This window comes from Homo sapiens, chromosome 1 (genome assembly GCF_000001405.40).
Source record: "Homo sapiens chromosome 1, GRCh38.p14 Primary Assembly".
NCBI classification, from domain to species: Eukaryota; Metazoa; Chordata; class Mammalia; order Primates; family Hominidae; genus Homo; species Homo sapiens.
The window spans coordinates 210,282,626-210,306,231 of NC_000001.11; the positions used below are offsets into that span (position 1 = coordinate 210,282,626).

The 23,606-nt window shown below is 46.0% G+C and overlaps 1 long non-coding RNA gene and 1 pseudogene across 1 annotated transcript, besides 1 other annotated feature; one reads left to right on the plus strand and one right to left on the minus strand.

The window, feature by feature from the left end:
• Window positions 1-7,712: 7,712 nt before the first annotated feature.
• Window positions 7,713-10,524, minus strand: LINC02602 (long intergenic non-protein coding RNA 2602). Its single transcript, NR_183451.1, has 2 exons — window positions 10,319-10,524; window positions 7,713-7,897 (listed from the first exon to the last, which is right to left on the minus strand). It is a non-coding gene; the product is annotated as a long intergenic non-protein coding RNA 2602 (long non-coding RNA).
• Window positions 17,623-18,457: an enhancer, noted in NCBI's record as "H3K27ac-H3K4me1 hESC enhancer chr1:210473593-210474427 (GRCh37/hg19 assembly coordinates)". NCBI's record gives its function as "activates a minimal SCP1, AML or CMV promoter by ChIP-STARR-seq in naive H9 embryonic stem cells {active_cell/tissue: H9 hESC(naive)}" and the evidence as "EXISTENCE:reporter gene assay evidence [ECO:0000049][PMID:30033119]".
• RNASEH1P3 (ribonuclease H1 pseudogene 3) lies at window positions 21,051-22,193 on the plus strand (annotated as a pseudogene).

Consider the following 23,606-nt stretch of genomic DNA (forward strand, 5'->3'; position numbering starts at 1 on the left):
CACTCTCACCTTTCTTCCCTTCCCATGAGCTGGAAGGTAGGAGTTATGGCAGGAGCTGGAGTAGACTGGGAGGTGAAGCCACATGCTGAGAATGGCATGGCAACAAGGTAGAAGAAACCTGTCTGTCCTACAAGATAGAAGAAGCCTAGATCTCCAACACTACAGAACCACCATACCAACCCTGAACCATCTACTCATTCTTTTATGTAAGAGAAATATGCTTTGTTAGAGACACCATTATTTTGGCCTTTGGTATAGTAGCTAAATCTGTACCCTAACCCATGTTGATCTCAGTCACACTTCTTCTTACTCCTAGTTACTCTTATTCTCTTCTGGGCTCCATTTCATTTTGCCAGCCAACCTCTGACATTTTGCTATCATGATACATTGCCAAAGCTGTTGCAGGTGAGCAGGGAGTACCTGGGCCAGCGGTGCAGGGGTAAAATAATTTACCAAGACAGTTGTAGACAAAAACAAAAGGCAGATTTATTAGAGAAAGTAGGAAAATACGTTGCAAGGAGGCAATGGGCAGCCAGCAGAAGAGAAGCTAACCGCCAGGAAACAGGCTTGCTGGAGATTCTATAGAAGAGTGTTTATGCTGTCTGTTGAAGAGGGCTTTGTGCAGTTCTGATAACACCAAGGTTGCAGTGAGCTATAATAGCTTGCAGGTGTCTGGTGATAGTTGGATGCAGGAAGATTGTGAGTTATTTGTGCAGGAGGGCTATGTGTCCTGGACCATGAAGAAAGGAAGACTTGTAGTTTATCTGCTTTCTTTTTTTTTCTTTTTTTTTTCTTTGAGATGGAGCCTTGCTCTGTTGCCCAGGCTGGAGTGTAGTGGCATGATCTCAGCTCACTGCAACCTCTGCCTCCCAGGTTCAAGCAATTCTCCTGTCTCAGCCTCCTGAGTAGCTGGGATTACAGGCACACACCATGACGCCTGGCTGATTTTTGTATTTTTAGTAGAGACAGGGTTCACCATATTGGTCAGGCTGGTCTCGAACTCCTGACCTCAGGTGATCCATCTGCCTCGGCTTCCTGAAGTGCTGGAATTACAGGCGTGAGCCACCACACCCGGCCGTTTATCTGCTTTCTCTCTTTGCTTTCCCTTGGTCCTGCCAGCCTAACTCTGTTTCTCTAATTAGGACTCCACAAAAGCTTCCTCAGTCACTCGCCCTTCCTGCAGCTTATATGACTTCCTCATCCAATCACCACTCCACATCTCATTCTCAATTCTCCACCATGGCCTACCTCTAGATAATCCGTGATCTCTAACTTCTGCAAAGGATTCATAGAGATAAAGCAACAAAAGCTGCCAATATTTATTTTAACACTTAACACATGCCAGTTTCTATTCTAAACTAATTATGTATGAATGTAATGTCTAAACTAATTACATCTCATTTTAACCTTTCACCAGCCCTTCAAGGTAAGTAGTTTTATTCCCTCCATTTTGAAGATGAGGAATCTGAGGCACAGACAGGTGAGGGGATGCCCTTCCCACTCATCCTGACAGCAGTTCTGACTCCAGAAACCCTAAACAGAGACAAGCAAGATCAGAAAAGTCCGTGAACGAGGCAGGTGAATTGCTAGAGGCCAGGAGTTTGAGAGCAGCCTGTGCAACATAATAACACCATGTTTCCACAATAAAGTTAAAAACTAGCCTGGCATGGTGGGCACGCCTGTAGTCCCAGCTACTCAGGAGGCTGAGGTTGGGAGGATCCCCTGAGCCCAGCAGTTTGGAGCTATGGTGAGCTGTAATCACACCGCTGCACTCCAGCCTGAGTGACCCTGCCTCAGAAACAACAAAAGAAGAAAGAGAGAAGGAAGGAAGGAAGGAAGGAAGGAAGGAAGGAAGGAAGGAATAAAGGAAGGAAGGAAGGAAGGACGGATGGGAGGGTGGGAGGGAGGGAAGAGAGGAAGAAAGAAAAGTCCTTGAGGTCACTGAAGAGTATGACGGCCAGGCTATCTATGACCAGTGGCAGCTGCTGGGTGGTGGAGACAGGCTGAGCAGTTTTGGGGGACTCCTGCATCTCTGTCTCTCAAGAAACGGCACAACTTTTGTTGGGGTTCTGCTCTCTCTCCCTCGCTCCCAAACACACAGAATTCCATGGTTGTTTTAAATGGTGTTCTCCCCAGTGATTCCCTCAGAATCCTCCAATTCCTATCCTTGGGCTCTCTCTTATTTTTTATTTTTTCCTTTGTCAAGCTTTCTGCTTACTGAGAACCACATAATAGCAGAAAGCAACTTACCAAGCCAGACCCCAGAGAGCCCTACAAGTTGGAACTGGGTCTCTCCTCTCAGCCTGGGGACAACTGTGTCTCTCTTCCCCATTAGGCACATTGACCAACTGACAGATATTCAGTATGGTCACAGAGAAGGCAATCTGGAGTAAAAGATGCTTATTTAAAATGGAAAATTCTTCCTCTCTCATCCTTCCTTTTTTCTACTGAAAATGTCTCTCTGTCCCTTGCTCCCTCTGGCAGCTTCAGCAAGGATGATGTGTGATCACATGTTAATTGAGTTGTAATTCCTCCTCCTGTTAAAGTGGGTAGTTAATTGTTCATGGGAAAATTTAATGCTGTTGTACTAGGGATGTCACAGAGAGTTCTTCCTTCTTCACACCAGTATGTAGTCCATGCTACATGTCAGCTGTATTGTCATTATCCTGCCAAATGGATGAAAGGATTGCAGTGGTTACGGTCAATTGGCACTCAGCATCTAGTCCGCCTTCCCAGGTAGAATTTCCTGTTTGATTTACAGAGGCTGGTAAACTAAACTCTTCATTTCTCAGACTACCTTGCAGCTAGGTTTCTAGAAGAGAATTAGATTCTCCCAATTAGATGTGCCTGACTCAAGTGAGACAAAGGCTCTCTTCCTGCAGCTTTGACTATTAAGTATCTACTGGAGAACCAAGCAGCTAAGCTTGTCCTACCTCAGGGTCTTGCTCAGAGCCATCCCTGGAACCAGCAGCAAGCATGGCTGTACAGACGTTATGTTTCTCAATAGCAGACTTCCAGTGCTCTGTCACCAGCCTTGTAGTTGTCAGGGGCAATGATGTGGTGGCAGTGTTGGTGGTGGTAGCAGATGCCTGAATCCAGCTATGGCTATGGCCACATGGATTTTTAATTCATCAGCTTCAGATTTACCCACCTTGGTAGCAGCTCCCCTATTGGGCCAGTTCTGGTGTACTGTTCTGAAAGTTGTTCTAGGAGGCACAGTCTGGGGTCGGCTGCTTCAGCCCTGGCAATAATCTTTCAGGCGTCTAATTCCTGATACTACATAATCTTTTTGTTTAAAATTGGTATAATGGGTTCTGTTTCCTATACCTGAACGCTTTTAAAACGTGGAGGGGGGGGGGGGTTGGGGGTTTGGAAGTACAAACAGCTGAGAGCCATGGAGAAAAATTCTAGCATTTGGCTATGGAAAGGGGACAGTCATAGTACTGTTCTTGCTGAAATGCCCATGAAAAGCTAGAAAGGTATTTTTTATGCCTATTTGTATTACAAGTTGGTCAGAGGGCTTAGATTTAAAGCTTGTCCTAGGAAATTTCATTCATTTAGTCATTCAACAAACCTTTATTTTCTACCAGGAACGATACTAGGCACTGTGGCCAAATAAAGAATAAACCATAACCATGCTCTCCAGGTGTTTAGAGCAAACATCCAAAGGAAAATTAAAGGCAGCTTGGAAGAAGCATCTTAATCAAAGTTTGGGAATAAGACCAAATTTAGATTAAATTGTGATTGATGACAGTTAAAATTACCCAATTCTGTAGAGCTGTTCCCCTTAAATTCTTTTTGGAGCTGACATAAGTCAGTAGATAAATATCACTGCCTATGTGTTTCATTGAAATGCTTGTTTCCTGAGCATCTTCCCCAAGTGGAGTGTTTGTTTCATATGCATTAGCAAAAAATTACATTTTTCATTTAAAAAATATCTAGAAATGTTATTCTAAACTAGAACTGAGGTACAACACACATACTGTGGTTTGGAATGTGATATCAAGGAATCTATCACCAGCTCGGCACAGAGCATTCCAACTCTGGGAAAAATACAGCATCCTAAATGACGAATTTGCCAGTGGCACCCTTATTGACCAATTATTAGGTTGGTACAAATGTAATTGCGGTTTTTGTCATTAAAAGTAATGGCAGGCCGGGTGCAGCGGATCATGCCTGTAATCCCATGACTTTGGGAGGCTGAGGCGGGCGGATCACCTGAGGTCAGGAGTTCAAGACCAGCCTGGCCAACATGGTGAAACCCCATCTCTACTAAAAAATACAAAAATTAGCCGGTGGTGGTGTGGTTGTTGATGCCTGTAATCCCAGCTACTCGGGAGGCTGAGGCAGGAAGAATTGCTTGAACCCGGGAGGCAGAGGTTGCAGTGAACCAAGGTCACACCACTGCACTCCAGCCTGGGTGACAATGAGACTCTGTCTCAAAAAAAAAAAAAAAAAAAAGTAATGGGAAAAACTGCAATTACTTTTGCACCAACCTAATATATTGAGTGTTTATTTTAACCTCTTTAAAACAAAAACATAACTCTTCATTTTCTTCCCCAAACATTTGTTTCCATGAGGGCAAGGACCTTTTCTATTTTGTTCACTGCTGTATCTCCAGCAACTAAAAATAGACTCTTGCACACAGCTGGGCTCGATCAATATTATTTGAATGTTGAATATATCTTTTTAAAAGATTTTCTGGGCTGGGCACGGTGGCTCACACCTGTAATCTCAGCACTTTGGGAAGCCAAGGCAGGTGGATCATGAGATCAGGATATCTACAGCGGCCTGGCCAACATGGTGAAACCCCGTTTCTACTAAAAATACAAAAATTAGCTGGGCATGGTGGCAGGTGCCTGTAATCCCAGCTACTTGGGAGGCTGAGGCAGGAGAATCGCTTGAACCCGGGAGGCAAAGGTTGCAGTAAGCCAAGATTGTGCCCTTGCACTTCAGCCTGGGAGACAAGAGCGAGACTTCATCTCAAAAAAAAAAAAAAAAAAAAGATATTTTCTGGGCCAAGCTCAGTGGCTCATGTCTGTAATCCCAGCATTTTGGGAGGCTGGGGCAGGAGGATTCCTTGAGGCCAGGCATTTGAGACCAGCCTGAGCAACATAGTAAGACCCCCATCTCTACAAATTTTTTTTAAAAAAATTAACTAGGCATGTTGGCCTGTGCCTGTAGTCCTAGCTACTCAAGAGGCTGAGGTAGGAGGATAGCTTGAGCACAGTGGTTCAAGGTTATAGTGAGCTATGATTGCACCACTGCCCTCCATCCAGCCTGAGTGACACAGCAAGACTCTGTCTCTAAAAAATAAAAAAAGATCCTTCTGGCTAATGTGTGAAGGATAGGCTATGGGGTGCAAGATGGCAAGCAAGGTGGCTACAGTAATCCAGGTGGGCAGGTGAGAGATGGTGGTGGCTTGGATTAAGGGTCTTTGGTGGAAGTGATAAGAAGTAGTCTGATTTGGGATCTCCTTAGAATGGAAACCAGTCAAGACCTGCCAATGGATAGGCTATGGAGTGTGAGAAAAAAAAAAAAGGAATCAAGAATGACTCCTAAATCTACTGCTAGAGCAATTGGAGGAATCACGGTCCATTTACCGGAACTCTCGGCATAGGGACAGCCCAGGCAGCAGCCTAGGCAGGTGTGTACATGGCCTGTTCAAGGAAGAGCAAGGAGGCCAGTGAGCAGTGAGCCAGAACAGGCAGGAGCTGAGGTCAGAGAGGTGTTTGGCACAGATCATGAGGATCTTGTCAAGGAAGGTGAAGACAGTTGATGTTGTTCTGAGTGATGGGAAGCTCTTGGAGGTACAAACTGCAAGTGTTCTAACACATGATCACATTTGCATTTTTAAAGGTGACTCAGGCTACTTGTGTAGAAAATCGACCACAGAAATGAAGAAATAAAAATGGAGAGACTGGTTAGAGCTATAGCAGGGGAGCAGGTAAGAGACAGTGGTGGCTTGGACCAGGTTGGTGGCTGGGGTGGGGATGAGACCAGTGAGATCATGTCTGCTTCTGAAACATGCCAAGCTCATTCCCTCCTCCTGGACCCTTCCCTGGTTGTTCCTACTAACTGGGCTGCGCTTCACTCACTATTCCACCTCATGCAGGTCTCTTTCCAATTATCACCTCCTCAGAGGTCTTCCCTGAGGAAGATCCCCTTTAACATGGTGCCTGGTGCCTCCTCTCTCACTCCCCTTTCTTTGCTTTATTTTACTCACTCTGTGTCATCCACTGTTTTTATATTTTACTGATGTATTTTTATCATCAACTTCCCCCACTAAAAGGTCAACTCCATCAGGACAGAGGCTTTGTTGTACCCACTGCTGCATCACCAGCCTCTAGGTCCGTGTCTGCAAACAGGTATTTGTTGAATATAAACGAAGCACTTAGGTAGGTGCTGGGAAGATTTTCTTTATATGACAAAGGGTTTCCTATGCAAATATTCAGTGTAAACATGACTAAAGGACAGGGAATATTCAAACTATGTTAAGGAACATGCTATGTTAGGGAACTTTCTACGTAGGAAAACTTTTTTTTTTTTGGAGACAGGGTCTCACTCTGTCACCCAGGCTAGAGTGCAGTGGTGCGATCATGGCTCACTGCAGCCTCCACCTTCAGGGCTCAAGTGATCCTCCTGCCTCAGCCTCCTGAGTACTGGGATTACAGGCATGCACCACCATGCCCAGCTAATTTTGTTCATTTTTTATAGAGACAATGTCTCACTATGTTGCCTAGGCTGGTCTCAAACTCCTGGCCTCAAGCGATTCTCCCACTTTGGCATCCCAAAGTGCTGGGATTACAGGCATGAGCCACTGGGCCCAGCCTACACGGGGGAACTTCTCATTGACATACAGTCAACAGGTGAGGGGCATAGCAGCAGGTCGATTCTTATGTATGTGAGTACTCTCTTGCACCAAGATACAGGTCTAAACGAAAAAAATTTAGTTATTTTTAATAAAAATGCCTGGTTCATATTTAAAAAAATAGAACTTCTGGGGGGTGTAATTCCTGTAATTCCTGTTAAAAAAAAAAGTAGCACGTATTCACAATATAGATCTTTACACAAACACATGCATTGAGCAAATACATGTTGTCTTATTATTTTTGAATGCAGTCTTTTCTCCCCATTTCCTTTTCTATGGTCAGCCCTCGCCCCATTTTCTTCCCACCATAACACCTTGAATATGGAGTATACTTTTTTTTTATGTAATTCTGTATAGAATATATACCTATACACATACCCAGGGGAATGCTGTTTATTGTTTTACAATGTGGGATCATTTATACATCTTTTCTCTCCTCATCTCAACACCACCTCATAGAAACTCCTCCAAGCTATCTGGCATACTCTGATTTTCCATGTTCATTGGTTACATACTATGCCATGGTGTGGACGTGTAATAATGTGTTCAGCTTTTCCCTCTTGGGAGGCAACCCTCTGTTTCCTGGCTTTTGCTCCAACAAACTATGCCATAACACCCATCTTTGAAATGTACAGTTTCAGAGCAGGAGGTGAAGTTGGATGCTCTTTCATTCAATCCCACAGTTAAGATAAATAAGGATCAGAAAAGTAAAAGAACATGCCCAAGGTCACACAGCTATTTGCTTGGTGCTTTGTAAAAATTTGAATAGCTATTATTTCACATGCTCTTCACAAGCAGGGCAAGTATTATCAGGTCAACCTTAAAAGTGGAGAAACTGAAGTCAAAGAGACCAATTGCTTTGATTTTATTACCAGTGAGGGCTAAAGCTAGGGCTTAAAGCCAGGACTTCTGATTCCTGATCCCCAGTAGCTTCTTCCACTCCTGCGTTGATGGAAACCATTAACTCAAAACTTCTACAGGGCAGCCTTCTGTTAATATATTCTAGACATCAACTGTACACCAAGCCTGAAAAAAAAAAAAAGTTTCGTTAAGAGAATGACACAGTGTGGATTTACCCATAATTCATAGCATACTTTCCTTACCTATTAGAATAAATGATAGTTGAGGTTGTTAAAAGTCTTTAAAATTAAATAGATTAAATTGTGAGTGCTGGCTCTGCCAGTAACTCTGCAACCTTCAGCAGATTACCCAGCATCCCTAAAACCCAGTTTCCTCATCTATAACCAAGGATATAATTGCACGGCACCTGCCTTCTCAGGTATTGTTAAGATTAGATGCCACAGGTGTAAGAGCAGATAGGATAGTAGGATCTTGATAAAGATTAGCTATTATTTTGGATGCTGTAATTCTTAGGTCTCACCCAACTGAACCGGTAGATATCTTTGATATCTTTCCTTCTTCACTCTTGTCTAGGACAGGGAAAGCCTTTCTTATCTATGGGTCCAGGGCAGTTCGATATCCTTGCTGGTTACTTTGTTATTTCTTCGTAAGTGTAGGGTTACAGCGGGAAAGACCTTGAGAGTTGTCTCTTTTAGCATTGTACATTGGCTAAAGTGGAGGGGAATCTGTCCCCAAAAATGGCAGAGTGGGAATATTCTGACCCTTCTGAGCACGGCTGACAGTGTGAGCCATGGAGAATGATGACATTTTTCAGCAACAGAACTGTCAATGGATGTGTTACAGCTATTTTAGTGCCTTCTCCCCTCCTGGAGAAAAGCCATTTTCAAACCCGTTGCTTGCAATGCATTAAGTGATGAAATACAGATAACAAATTGCGCATTTGTTTGGCTTCATGCTTATTACACCCCCGGTTCTGGAAAGCATTGCACTTAGCCCCTTAATAATCCCTCTCCTGAGATCAATTACTAGGATTTATCTGGTTCCTCGAGCATAAAAGTGTTTTATTGTTTTTACTTTTGCTCCAAGTGAAGTGTGAGTGGGTAGGCCAGGTTAAAATGGACTGTCCCAGACAAGAATATGAAGCTGGGATCATTGGCCCTGCTTTTACTGTCTACCAGGTCCTCATGACCAGGAAAGGGGGGAATATTTGGAAGCCACTTCCCTGGGGAGGCACCAGGTCCAGATGTCCTCATCTCTGGCTATTTGCACGTATATAGAACACAGGTCTGCAGGTGCCTAGGAAGGTGGGTGCTGTTCCACGGGAGAAGCTGGAAAGCAGAACCAAGTTACCATCTCAGACCAAATCGTTTTTCCTCTAGAATTTCACTGTAATCCAAACCAGTTGAACATTTGAGAAGAACTGGGTACCATGAAAAGGGGTAATGGAATTAGCTTTCATGTTTTTCCAGGACTCTAAACCATATTTCCTGTCACAACTGTACATTATTAATACAAGGCATCTGTTAGCGCACAACTGCCTGAAAATGTGCACCCAAAAACCTTACATCTGGTTTCAATAATTTATTTCTGACATTTGTAGTTGGTGGTGGTGGGGAGTGGGGGGAGGATGGGAAAAAGGGGGGAATTAAAGCAAGATGTTGCCTTTAACCCATCAGAAGCTCCTGTTGGAGCCGAAAGCTGGAGTTCTTAACGTGGTTTCTGCATTAGGTAATATATTAATTTAGCAGCAAATAGCAAGACTCCGGGCCTGGTGGGTGTGGGTGCCCGCTCGCTTTTATCCTGCCTTCTCTGGCTGCAGCAATTAGCTTCCTCTTGCGAAGGGGATTAGGAGGACCACCCCCCAGCGGCGGGGGTTGGGGGGCTCTCGCAGAGCTGTCAGGTGTCATTCGGCTTACCCAGCCCCCCCACCACTCCCCGCCCCTGCAATTAACTCCCTCTCCCGCTTTGCCAGCCCCTCACCCGCACAGAGACAAAGAGGCCTGTTCCCGAGGTGTCCGACCTCCTGCCCCCTTGGCGGGCCCCGCCCGGGTTCCTCCAGCAGGAATCGCCCCAGGCGCTGGGAGCCAGAGCTGGCCGGGTCTGACACCCGCCCCAGACTTTCCACGATCAGGTTTCAGCTCGACTAACGAGGGGGAAAGAAAGAACGCGCGACTTCCGCGGGCCGGAGCCGCGCGGGGGCCCGGGGGAAACGCCGGCCTGGTCTGGGTGGGAGGGGACGCGAAGAGGCTCCGGGCTCGGCCAGTGTCTGCCCCGGGACTGGGCCCTGGGACTAGGCGGGGCACAGGTGTCCCAGGAGGGGGCGCCCTGACTTGACGCGAACGGGCCACCTGTCCCTCCCACGCCTGCGCTGCCACCCGCCCTGCTCCGCCATCGCCTCCTCCAAAGCTCCCCGGATCCTCCGAGGCGTCGTCGTCCGAGTTGTTCTGCGGGAGGAACTTCTGCTAAAGCCGGTCCTCGAGTCCCCCCCGCCTCAGGAGGGGCAGCGCCCGGATTGTCTTAAGTACAACACTTGCCAAAAGGGGCTCTTTGGGATTTGGGACTTTTTTTCCTAAGCAACAGACGTACCTTTCCAGACTCACCAACTTAGAAGCACAGGTTTTCTGTTTGTTTCATTATTAGACTTTCAAAGATCATCATGTCCCACAGCCTCCTCCTTTTCCAGATGAGGGGACTGAAAATCAGAAACATTTTGCCTTTTGCTCAAGGTCACACAGCTCAAGTTCACTGGGCGGCTGGGACTAGAGGGTCCGAATATTCTGCAGCTATGATATGAAAAAAATAAGTTTGGCTGGAGGGTGGAGGGCATCCAGGTCTGTCCTGGCCAGCCGGCGGGGAGGCTCAGCCCAGGGTTCAGATTTTCCTGGAGCCAGTCCACCAGCGGTCAGGCCACATGTGAGTAATGAAGAATTGAGTGTTGTGTACTTTAGGCTGGTCTCCCTCTTCCTGGCCCCCTTCCCCGGCCTTAACTTCCTTTTGGAGTCCCTACTGACTTCTGGGTGTCCACCATGGGCCCTGTTGGAAAAATTTCAGCTCCATCCCAGAATAAAAGGAATGAAAACCTGGGGAAAGGAGCCAAGAAGGAAAAGCCACAAATTCGCATCTGGCCGAGGCAGAGGGAGCAGCTCCAAGAGCCTGCAGAAATGCACTGTGACTGCTGTTTGCAGAGGTTCAGCTGCCAGAGGCTCGGATGCCCTCCTGGGTCCTGCTCCTGAGAAATCAGAGCAGGCAAGAGAGAAGACACATGTTCCCCACCAAATTTTTCCTGCCGCCAAGTCCTTCAGGTTTCTGCAGACCATGGGGAAGAACAAGAACTATGGAGTCAGGCAAGAGGTAGCTGGAATTCCAACTCCCCAACCCATTAGATGGGGCCTTGAGTAAGTGACTCAACCTCTCTAAGCCTCAGTTTCTTTGCCTGTTACATGAGGGGAACAACAGGACCATTATGAGGACTTATATAACGTGTACTATATAAAGCACTTAACACAGTTCTTGTACCTAGGGCTACATTGTAACTTTTGTGGGTTTTAGGCATTTTGGCCTTCGCGGCCATGAGCCCTTCATCAAAAACAAAAATTAAAAAATACAAAAATATTTTATGGCTGCATTTGTATAAAGATGAACATAATAATATTATGTAGTAAAGCATTTTTTTTTTTGAAATGGAGTCTTGCTCTGTGGCCCAGGCTGGAGTGCAGTGGCACGATCTTGGCTCACTGAAACCTCTGCCCACTGGGTTCAAGCGATTCTCCTGCCTCAGCCTCCTGAGTAGCTGGGATTACAGGCACCTGCCACCATGCCTGGCTAATTTTTGTATTTTTTGTAGAGACGGGGTTTCACCATGTTGGCCAGGCTGCTCTCGAACTCCTGGCCTCAAGTGATCTACCCACCTTGGCTTCCCATACAGGCTTGAGCCACCGTGCCCAGCCAGTACTAAAGCATTTCTTAATCTAAAAATATTATATATTGTTTTGTTTCTACAAAGAAATTAAAACATTTCCATGGGCCCCCAAAAGCACTGTGGGCCCTCGGCACTGTGCCTAATGGATGTCAGCCCTGCTTGTCTCCCAGCTCAGGATCTGCTTTTAGGGTAGCCCAAACAAAGACACAGGGGCATGTCTATGACGTGTGAGGAGCCACAGCAAAGAGACAACCGAGAGAAGAGTGTAATGAGTGAGGGTGGGGGGAAGGAGGAGAGAAATAGCTTTCATAAACTCAGCGTCCTCCCAATCCTCTTGCAATCACATGGGGTTGCTGTTGTAGCCCTCCCTGCAGGATCTGTCAGGACTGTGCTTCCCGTACGTCAGGTCTGCCCTCTGCACCATCAGCCCTCTATCTCCACTCCCTCTGCTCATACCCAGGCAGGTAGGTAGTGTAAAGCCCACCTTCCTCTATAGGCCCCTCTCAGTAGTTCCTCTTCACAGACGGGCATTTATCCTACCAGGATTCTAGTCCCTCTTGCCAAGGAGAGATCCCAGGCTTTGGGGCAACACTGCCCTAGCCTCCTGAGCCCCACATGTGGAATATCTGGCCATGCCTTCCCACCTACTTTTCTCCTCAGGGCAGGCCCACCTCCGGGGTACTTTTCAACGCAGAGAGCCTCAGAGATTGGACATGAGAGAAAAAGGTGCTCTCCTGCATGATATTAGCTTTTCTTCCATCTGAAGTCACAAGGCTGGGTCATACAGTCAGTCCCTGGGGGCACATAGCTCTTAGGATTCGCTCCTAGCTACCAGGCAACTGGCAGAGACTAAACAGCTTATGTTTCTAAGAGGGAGTGGCTAGTGTTTATCAAAGACTGATGTGTGGGCTCCAGCAGCCTCTCCAGACAGTGGCTGAGGCCTGTCCTGAGCTCTGGGAAAGCAGGAAGTCCCCGGCTGGGCTGGGGCTTGCTGGCTTTGCAGGAGCACTGGCAGGATCTGAGGAAAGCGTTCCTCACAGATGTCTCCTTCAGAGGCTGGTGGATTCCTTAACAGCTAATTAGTGAGAAGTCGCTACCATGATGGGGGCTGACCTAGGCCTTCCTCCACCTCCTCCTTGGGGTTGAGACCCCAGGAGAGACCAGCAATGCTTTACTATGGTCGTATTTCCTCCCCGACGTCAATGCTTTCTTTAGGAATCATCTCTTCAGTTTAAGCCTTTTCTCAGAAACCAGCTTTTCTCTGACAAGTTTGCAGCTCAAAAGGAACTGGCTCCTCTTACTGTTGAAATCGGGCACATCTGGAAGCAGTAAACTTTTCAGCAGGCTGAGGGGGAAGAAAAGATGTCTTGTAGGGGACAGATTCACCTCTGGGACTAATTATTCTTTATATTTCACCCGTCACGTTTACTATCTTTGTCAGAGCAAAGAGACAATAAGTGATCTCATTAAATCCCAGAAAGATGCTTCTCCCCTTCAAGGAGAACCTCTCAACACCCTGTCCTCTGACAAGGGCCATGTCACTGAGGTTGGCACAGGGGCCTGGGAATCAGGGATGGGTGGGGCAGAGGCGCTTCCAAATGCTTTTCTTCATTTGAATATAGTGTCTGTGTTTTCTATTGCTGGAAATACCCTTGTGGGTCTGAAATCAAAGTCTTCTCTGGCCACATTTTCCCCAGACGTAGGCTCCCTTTGGAAAGACAGAAATGAGAGGGGATCGGTCGTGGGGTTAAAAAAAATCATTTTGGGGGAATTCTGAACCAGCTCTTCTTCTCCCTTCTTCCTATCAAAAACTCATCCTGTGGCTGGCTGCGTTGGCTCACACCTGTAATCCCAGCACTTTCGGAGGCTGACGCAAGAGGATTGCTTGTGCTCAGGAGTTCAAGACTAGCCTGGGCAACATGGTGAAACCCTGTCTCTCCAAAAAATACAAAAATTAGCCAGTAGTCTGAACTGGGAGGCTGAAGTGGGAGGATGGCTTGAGCCTAGGAGGTTGAGGCTGCAGTGAGCTGAGATTGTACCACTGCACTCCAGACTGGGTGACAGAGTGAGACCCTGTCTCAAAAACAAACAAATGAAACATCCTGGTAAAAAGACCAGAGAAGACACTGAGTCAGATTCTTCCAGGGCTGGGTGACAGTTGTATGAAACCCCTATTAACCCCAGTGAGTAAGGCACCAAGTTCAAGAGGCTGAAGATGAGACCCAGAGCCAGCAAATGAGACATGGGGTTTTATTAGAGGCTTCCATACAGGGGGACATCGGGCCGGACAACATAATCGAGTGGCCTAGTGGCAGTGGGCTGGGCAGGAAAACTGCAATGGCCTCCAAATCTCATGCAGTTTGTATAGCATTTTCACTTAACACCCTCCCCCTAACAGCTTTCACCCAGCAGAGTTCATTTAGCCCCAAAACTCAGGGCCTTAATCCCCTGTACCACCATGTCCCATAGGATGGGCCAGGGACTCAGATGTTCTGCATAGACAAGGAATGAATCTCCTGGTTGGCTACTCCCAGATTCCCTAGCTCAGAACACACATTCTGGTGCATCTGCCATACAGGGTCATTCTGAGGATATGCTAAACTTAATGCTGACAGGTGCGTTTACCCTACAATGACCCTCCACAAAGCCATCGCTGTGATACCAGGGTTCAGGAGTTGCTGTCACTTCCTTTCCCAACCACATAAATGAGCAGCTCAGACAGGGCCCCAGCATCCGATTGATTGTCTTCCCAATCCACACCTTTTAACCCTTCAAACAGATACACTCAAGTCAAGGGGATGAGTGTAGGGTGAGAAATTCTCTCCCTCTGCACTCTTGTCAGATGTTGGCCTGAGGTGGCCCAGAAGGGTCTGAACCGCATCTTCTGAAGGATGCCTGGTGTCTTTCAGGTCTTCCTTACTTAAAATGTGCTTGACAAAATTAGCATCACTTGAAATCTCCTTCAAAAGTACACAGTCTCCTAACCCTTTCCTGCCCCACATCCCAGGCATTTTAACAAGACCTCCAGGTGATTTGTATGAATGCTGTAGAATGAGACGTTGTGTTCTAGATCAGTAGTTCTCAGTAATTGGCTTGGCTCAGAATCACTGGCAAGACTTGTTAAAATGTTGACTGCAGGACCCTGCCCCAGAGTTTCTGATTCCAAAGGTCTGGCATGGCTGAGAATGTACATTTTTAATAAGTTCCCATGTGGTGCAGGTGGTGCTGATCCAGGGACAACACCAACATGGTTCCCAAGCCTAATTGCATAACACTTAAGGAATTGTGTTTAAAAATACAGATTCCTGGGCTCCACTCAAGAAATTCAGATTCTAAGGTCTTATAATCTAATAACAGGGTTTTTACAACAAAGTACATTTATATAGCACTTTAAAGTTTACAAAATGCTTTTGTCAGAGGCTTTTGAACCAGAGCAACTCCATTTTGAATAGGAGTTGGGTAAAATGAGGCTGAGATCTACTCGGCTGCATTCCCAGAGAGTTAAGGCATTCTAAGTCACAGGATGAGATAGGAGGTCAGCACAAGATATAGGTCATACAGACTTTGTTGATAAAACAGGCTGCAGTAAAGAAGCCAGTTAAAACCCACCAAAACCAAGATGGTGACAAGAGTGACCTCTGGTTGTCCTCACTGCTACACTCCCACCAGTGCCATGACAGTTTACAAATGCCATGGCAACATCAGGAGGTTACCCTATATGGTCTAAAGGGAGGCATGAATAATCCACCCCTTGTTTAGCATATCATCAAGAAATAACCATAAAAATGGTTAACCAGCAGCCCTCAGGGCTGCTCTCCCTGTGGAGTAGCCATTCTTTTATTCCTTTACTTTCCTGATAAACTTGCTTTCACTTTGCTCTGTGGACTTACCTCAAATTCTTTCTTGCGTGAGATCCAAGAATCCTCTCTTGGGGTCTGGATCAGGACTCCTTTCCGGTAATGAAATGAGAGAGTTCCCTGACCCCTTTGCAGGATGTGCAATAGGGGTGTGGCTCATTTATTCGGCCCCCCCAAATACTCAAATCCCTTAAGGTAGCGGGAGCCTGCAGGTGAGCAGGTGCAGGAGCTGGGGTGAGCGCTTTTGGGCTCCAGCCCCACAGCAGCGTCTAGGGGTGTTACAATGCTGTTTTAGCCCTGCCATATGGGGATGACTTAATTGTTAAACAGCTGAGTGAAGAGTCAGTATGACAGCCTTTTTGGCTTCCTGCATCCAGTGCATCCCGAATTCTTGTCCAGTGTCCAGGAAGAATCAGGTCACACAGACTTGAAGGATGGTGAATGCGGGAATTTTATTGAGTGATAGAGGTGGCACTCAGTGGGATGGGGAGCTGGGGAGGGGATGGAATGGGAAGATGATCTTCCCCTGGAGTTTAGGCATCCTGCCGCCAGGATGCCTCCTCTCCAACTGCTCCCAGCTGAGCTCTCGACATTCAGATGCTTTGTCTGTTCTCGCCGTCTCTGCTGTGCTGCTCTGCTGCTCTTCTGCTTGTGGAGCCTGGCATTTGAGGTTTTTAAGGGTACAGAATGGGGGACGTAGTGGGCCAGGGTGGTTTTGGAAAACACTTGGGCAGGAGGTCAGGGATAACTGTTCTCATTTAGGGCCATGGTTTCCAGCCTTTGCCGGGTAACCACCCTCTTCTACCCAGTATTTCCCTGCCTCCTGTCTGTATCAGTAACACTTTTATAAGCAATATTCCATTTACTCTTTGGAATGAAGAATCTTCTTACAAATAAGGAGGAAGCTCAGGTTCTGAGAGGTTAAGCAATTTATCTAATATTTCTTAGTGAGTAAGCCAAGATTTGAACCCAAGAATTCCAAAGCCACAACCTAAACTTTTCCATCTCATCACAGCCTGTTACAAAATCATTGTAAAGACTGAGTCTATTTCAAGTATTTTTAGTTTCATGATCACATTTGAGATAACTGTTCATAGGATTTTTCAGAGGCAGTTTTATGGTTTTGTGGAAACTGGTTAATGAACAGATAAGACTGTTTTGTACAAAGCAACATCTATTCCCATGCTGGTAATATCCTTGGGTACTTAGAAGCATGCCAAATAGATTGAACGTGCCTTCTCTGGTCTTAACTACCCTTTCAATTACCTTTTTTTTTTAAAACAGGTTAAAAAAAAAAGTAAAAAGACCCAACCCTTTCTTCAAAGGTCAAACTGATCAAATTTTGATTTAGCTGAGCCTGAATCAATGAGTTTACTGTGTGTGCAGACTCCCAGTCCACATCACTGCCATACTGCCCAACTAAGCTTTTTCAGTCAAAGAAAAGGCATCTGCTTGCATTGTAAGTACTAGTTGTTGATGACAAAAAAAAAAAACATTGTATGCCTCAGGCCATATCTACGAAAAAAAAAAAGAAAAAACTCTTCCCTGAATCTGTCCTCAGATCCTTTTTAAATGCAAGTTGAGACGAGAGGTTTCCAAGCTGGCTGGGACCAAGAACAATGCCCTGTAGCTGTGGGTGTGGGAGTGGGTGCGGCTTGTCATCCGGCAGCTTTTGAAGAGGTGTCAAAAAAAGGCCATTTTGAAATAAGTGCTCCAGTTACCTAAAAGAGGGCAGCGCCTAGGTCAGAAATGTCCAGAGGTCTCCTTGAAAAAAGAAAAAGGGAGAAAACAGCCTTCCTAGCTGGGAAGCAGAGCTGATATTCTCCCATGCGTGAACCCCTTTCCCAGAGGTGTTTCTGGGAGCACCGAAATCAAATTACAAAACCATTTTCTGCCTCACAATTACTCAGTTTTTTTTTCTTTCTTTCTTTTTTGAAATAGGGTCTAACTCTGTCACCCAGGCTGGAGTGCAGTGGCGTGATCTTGGCTCACCGCAGCCTGCACCTCCAGGGCTCAAGCGATCCTCCCACCTCAGCCTCCTGAGTAGCTGGGACCACAGAAACATGCCATTACACCTGGCTACTTTTTGTATTTTTGGTAGAGATGGGGTTTTACCATGTTGGCCAGGCTAGTCTTGAACTCCGGGGCTCAAGTGATCCACTTGCCTTGGCCCCCCAGAGTGCTGGGAGTATGGGCGTGAGCCACCATGCCTGGCCTTAGTTGAGGTTTTAACTGGCAAAACTTTCTTCTTTCAAAGTCCAGTGCTCGACTGATTTTCTCCTTTCCTCCCTGTCTGGCAGGGATGGCAGTGGGGAAGTTGAGGTGCTGCAGAAGAGTGAGCCGAGGGTGCCTGTGTCTTAGATCACATGCCATAACCAGGAAATATTTTTAGAAATCCAGAAAAAAAAAATCTCCTGGGCGAATGCTGTCGATTTTGTGCTGTTTGGGGAAAGTGGCTCATCAGAGTAAATGCCTCTCTCTCTGATGCCTTAAGTATCCTCCCTGCCTCAGATGAGCAGGTTATTAAGGTAATGTTACCCTTTATTGCTGAAAAGCAGTGTAAATAGACACCCAGACTACAGAGATTAGCTGCTTTCAAACTGCAGAAATGAGACACTTTCTCCTACAATTTCCGTTTTCACCAAATAGCATACCCTATTTACTTGGGGGAAATAGTCGCCTTCTTATAATGACCACACCCATTTGCTCAGATGGAAGAAGCTGGCAAAGTAAGTGCTGTTATTATCTGGGCAAATCTTTGAGAGTTTTCTTCCTCATCCTGTGTTGTTCTGCTGTGAGCTTACTGCCTTCCCTTCATTCAGTCACATGCAGAAGGTACTGCCCCTTCTGCTCCCCACAAGGGTCAAGGAACTCCCAGTCCTAGGATAGAGGGTGTCTCTTGACTGATGGGGATAGGGGTAGGGGTGAGAATCATTTCAGGACCATCTGATACTGACAGAGGAGACCCAGCCTGCTGCCCTTGGAGAGCTCTCAGCTGATGAAGGCACAGCCCTGACATGAGGAAATTTACACACACACATGCACGCATAGACACATACATATATACATTTACACATGTACATATGTGCACATATATACACATACATTTCCACCAAATATTATATATTAATATATTTTTTCTGGGAACACATAGGGAAAAGTAGCATTTGGTGAATAACACTGAGACTAAGAGACAGCATAATTAGTATTCATTGACCCAAACTATGGAGTTAGTGCTGGGGAAAAGAGATCTTAAAAGGAGGGGGTGTCCCTCCATGTAGAGTGAGTCAGTGTGACCTAGGTATACTCCGAGTGCTTAATATTAGCCTAGGAAAGAATAGCAGAGACTCCGCCTGCTGCTTCCCGACAGGGATTTCTTTATAACCAAAGCACAATAGCTTTACCCAGCCCACTGTAACAGGATAAACAAGTTTGATGTAACTTCCAAATCTATTTTCTATTGTAAGTTCGTTTATTGAATAAAATAGCAATTCAACATGTTTGCAAATCATGGTGCTGTTAGATGCCAACGCTGGCAGAGATTCATGTGTTTACTGTACAGCTCGCCCAGTTAGGCTCTGCTACTCAGCAGAGCAGCAATGTGGAATTCCAAACAGCTGCAAGTAGTAAGTGGAAAGCGATTTTTGCTAATCATCCAGGAGGTTATGTGGCATGGTGGAAACTGGTTCCAGACAACAACTTGCGTGTAGAGTCAGGACTTGGAAGCAGCTTCTGGATATTTGCTTTTTGGACTGATACAAAGTAAGAGCGAAGCGGTGACGTGATCTTGCACACTTGCATTTAGTATTCTCTAAATGTGAACCTGAATTTGTTTTACATTAGAAAACCCCTTTTCAACAGTTTTTGGGCCTGGTTCCCAGCATCTGAAGAAAATGCACAAAAGCAAAGATGTGGTCCGCTTATGGGGGAAAATGGGAAAGCTACCTCCTCATGCTTCTCCAAAGGACTTAAACATTCTTCTGAGGATGTGTGTGGTTTTTTAAAATCTATGTTGAATGTAGAATTAACTTACATCCATTCAGCCAGAGAAAAGTTGATCTTGGTTTCTCAGTAAAAGCACATTTTCAAGATATCGATGTGGAATCAGGGGCTTTGGTGGTGGTCTACCAAGAAGTATACCTAATCTGTGAGTATCCCTGCCCAAGTTGGCCACTCTAAAACTCAAGATTTCCTAGGTCTACCATCACCTTTTGCCGTGCAATGATCCCCAGCCCTGTTCCTCCCTGTCCTGGCTAGAGCTTAGAATGGGCTTTGGAAGCCCAAGCTAGAGGTTGCATTTCTCTCCCATCAAGAATGGGAAATGAAGACCCTCTGCTGCTGCTTTTTATCTGCAGCTAGAGCACTAAGAACATGGCCTCAAAGCTGGCTGCCAGGTACACAAGTAGCCAGGATCTCTGCTAGGTCCCTTCTGTCCTGGTCTTTGGCATCCGAGGTAGACCTAGCCTGTGTTCCAGCCGCCTAGCTGTTTGCTGCCAGCTCAGTTTCCCAGGACTTGGGCCTAATCCCGGTCTCACGCCTCACATGGAGCTGGCTGGTTCCCGTTAGCATTTCAGTCTACCCCTAATGGCGAGCACCGTTGCTGCCAAGAACTCATGAAACTGGATTCCCATTTGGCCCCTTCTGATCAGACTCTTCTGGACAACTTTGCCTGCTTGGAAACAGGCGGCAGTTATGCCACGTCCCTTGGACTTGTCTATGGCTGCTCAGGGAAGGGCTGTGTCTGGTCCGTATGTTCTGATTCATGATATCCCCTCCCCCCAGCCTGTAGTGCAATTGGCTTCAATCTGGAATTCTAGGTAATGCTAACCCCTTTTGGAATAGCTCCTTATAGCTATGATCTGTGCTGAACGAAATAATCTTATCAAGTGCAGAGGCTTTCAGAGAATGTTATCTACCTTTCAAAGTAAAGTTCTCAAGAACATTCTAGAAGATCACATGTTTTGTTTTTTCTCCACAGCCTAGCTCAAGGAATAGGAGATTTGATAGATTTATGACAAGGCCTTTTTCAAATGCATTGATCTGGCTAGCTTTGGTCCTCAAAAGAATGTTCTGCCCTGGAGCAGGCCGGTCTTATCAGACACAGCTACGCAAATGGGTTGGTTCTTGCAAATGGTCCAACTGACCATAGAGAAAAATAATTAGCCAAGTCTTTAGTTATGCCTAAGAGTGTACTTTTTTTTTTTAAGATAGGCTCTCACTCCTGTCACCCAGGCTGGAGTGCAGTGGCACAATCTGGGCTCACTGCAGCCTGGACCTCCCGGGCTCAGGTGATTCTCCCACCTCAGCCTCCACAGGTGCAGGCCACCATGCTCAGCTAATTTTTTGTAATCTTTTTAGTAGAGATGGGGTTTTGCTATGTTCCCCAGGCTGGTCCCGAACTCCTGGACTCAGGCGACCCACCCGCCTCCACCCGCTAAAGTGCTGGAATTACAGGCATGAGCCACCGTGTCCGGCCTCAGAGTGTACTTTTACTGAAGCTATTTTCAGTGGGCACTGTTGGGGTCACACTGATGTGAGGTGAGAGTGAGCCATGTGCCAGCTTCTGTCCCTGGCCCACAGAGTCACCTTGATAGCTGTGCGCTGCCACAGGGACTGCTGCAGCCTCAGGATGGTCTATGCTGTGGGGAGGGCCTGCAGGACTGGGGTCTTTCTGACCTGGAATGAATATAGAGCATAGGTGGACCTATTTCCTGCTGCCAGATTTAAGAAGTTTGCCACAGAAAATGAGGCCTGGGCCTTTGTCAGGAAATCTGCAAGCCCAGAAGGTTCAGAAGGGCAGAAAAATAAACATGTACAAGAATCACAAATGAAAGCCAGCAAGGGACTCTGTGAGCCACTGAATGGAGATGGAGATGAAAGTGCAGAGTCTTGTGCAAAGCCTGTGAAGCAAATCATAGAGCCGGCACCTCGAGTGAGCAGAGACATTTTCTTACATCGGAGGCTTTGTCGTCGTCTACACTGATGGCTACTGCTCCAGTAATGGGTGGAGGAGAGCACTAGTGGGAACTGACGTTTACTGGGGGCCAGGCCATCCTTTAAATGTAGGCATTAGACTTCCTGGGTGACAGACAAACCAAAGAGCAGAAAATCATGCAGCCTGCAACACCATTGAACAAGCAAAGGCTGAAAACATCAATAAATTGGTTCTGTACACAGATAGTATGTTTGCTATAAATGGTATAACTAACTGGGTTCAAGGTAGGAAGAAGAACAGGTGGAAGACAAGTACAGGGAAATAGGTGATGAACAAAAAGGACTTTGTGGCACTGGAGAAGCTCAGTCAAGGCATGGACATTCAGTGGATACTTGTTCCTGGTCATCCAGGGTGTATTGGCAATGAAGAAGCTGATAGATTAGCAAGAGGAGCTAAACATTCTGAAGACTAAGCAAAGTGAATTTATTACTTGGGAAAAGTTGAGCCAGTGGCAGTTTTGCTACTTTTGCTTACTGGTACGGAAAACAGACTGCAGGCTGGACCATTGCAGTGGATGGGCAGATGTGGCTTTCACACTGAATCACGGTGGCACAGTGGCATTCTGTGATACATTTTGATAAAAAGTGGTTAAATATATAATAAATTGAACATCTCTGAGATTTAAGAATTATGTGAGATTTCAGCATTATGCTTACTAGGTTTGACACTTTTCTTGCTTATTTTATTGCAATCTGGTTTAAAATGCTACAGGTTTGATTTTTTTTTTTTTTTGAGACGGAGTCTTGCTCTGTTGCCCAGGCTGGAATGCAGTGGCACAATCTCTCAGCTCACTGCAACCTCCGCCTACCTTGGCCTCTCAAGTAGCTGGGACTACAGCCATGCGCCACCACGCCTGACTAATTTTTGTATTTTTAGTAGAGATGGGGTTTCACTGTGTTGGCCAGACTGGTCTCAAACTCCTGACCTCAAGTGATCCACCCACCTCAGCCTCCCAAAGTGCTGGGATTATAGGTGTGAGCCACCGCGCCCGGCCCACAGCTTTAATTTTGATAAGAAATCAAAAAAACATTGGTTAAAAGATGCAGGTCAGAAGTCTAGAAATATTCTGAAAGCATACATTTATCTTCCAGTTCACAGACTTGAGTCTCCTGCTTTTACAGGTCACTTGTGCCTGTGGGCACATTAGAGACAGATGCAGCCCAGGGCCTGGGCGGGCTGCTCAGCAGAGAAGATGTGAGCTGGTCTCAGCCTCACGTGCCTGCCTGCTGGGCACTGACATAATAGGTGAAGCCTGCACACAGGCGACCCTGGCTGCTAGGCCACTCTCTAGGAACAGTTACAACTTGTAAAGACCAAGATGAATACATAAATCTTTCCAAAATTTCTTTGGCTCTTTTGTTGAAAACTGTGCACACTTAAAAAAAAGTTTGACATGATCATTTATTTAGTTTTAAACCTTTTTATCATAAAATAAAAACACACAGGAAGACAGACACAGACACAGACACACACACACACATGCTATTTTCGTTGGGACTTCTGCCTAGAAGAAAATCCTTATTGATCTGTATGTTATGAAGGCTAGTGGCATTCAAAACTGTTAGCTGCATTCAGACAATTTTTATTTATTAATGGAACCTTAATTTTTAAAAACATCCCTTATTATTTTTTTTTTCTTTTTCTTTCTTTTTTTTTTTTTTTTGAGATGGAGTCTTGCTCTGTTGCCCAGGCTGGAGTGCAGTGGCATAATTTTGGCTCACTGAAACCTCTGCCTCCCAGGTTCAAGCGATTCTCCTGCCTCAGCCTCCAGAGTAGCTGGGATTATAGACGTGCGCCACCACGTCCAGCTAATTTTTGTACTTTTAGTAGCGGGATTTCACCATGTTGGCCAGGCAAACTCCTGGCCTCATGTGATCCATCCGCCTCAGCCTCCCATAGTGCTGGGATTACAGGCGTGAGCCACCGCGCCTGGCCAAAACCTCCCTTTTTAAAAAACCAATAATAATCTGTTAATCTAAATGCATACAGAAACACAACTTATGAGTTGGCCATTTTTTTCTTGCTATGGAAAATTAGATAACAACTACTGAACAAGCTCACAGATAGTAACTTGGAAATATACTTAAAACAGAGGTACATATG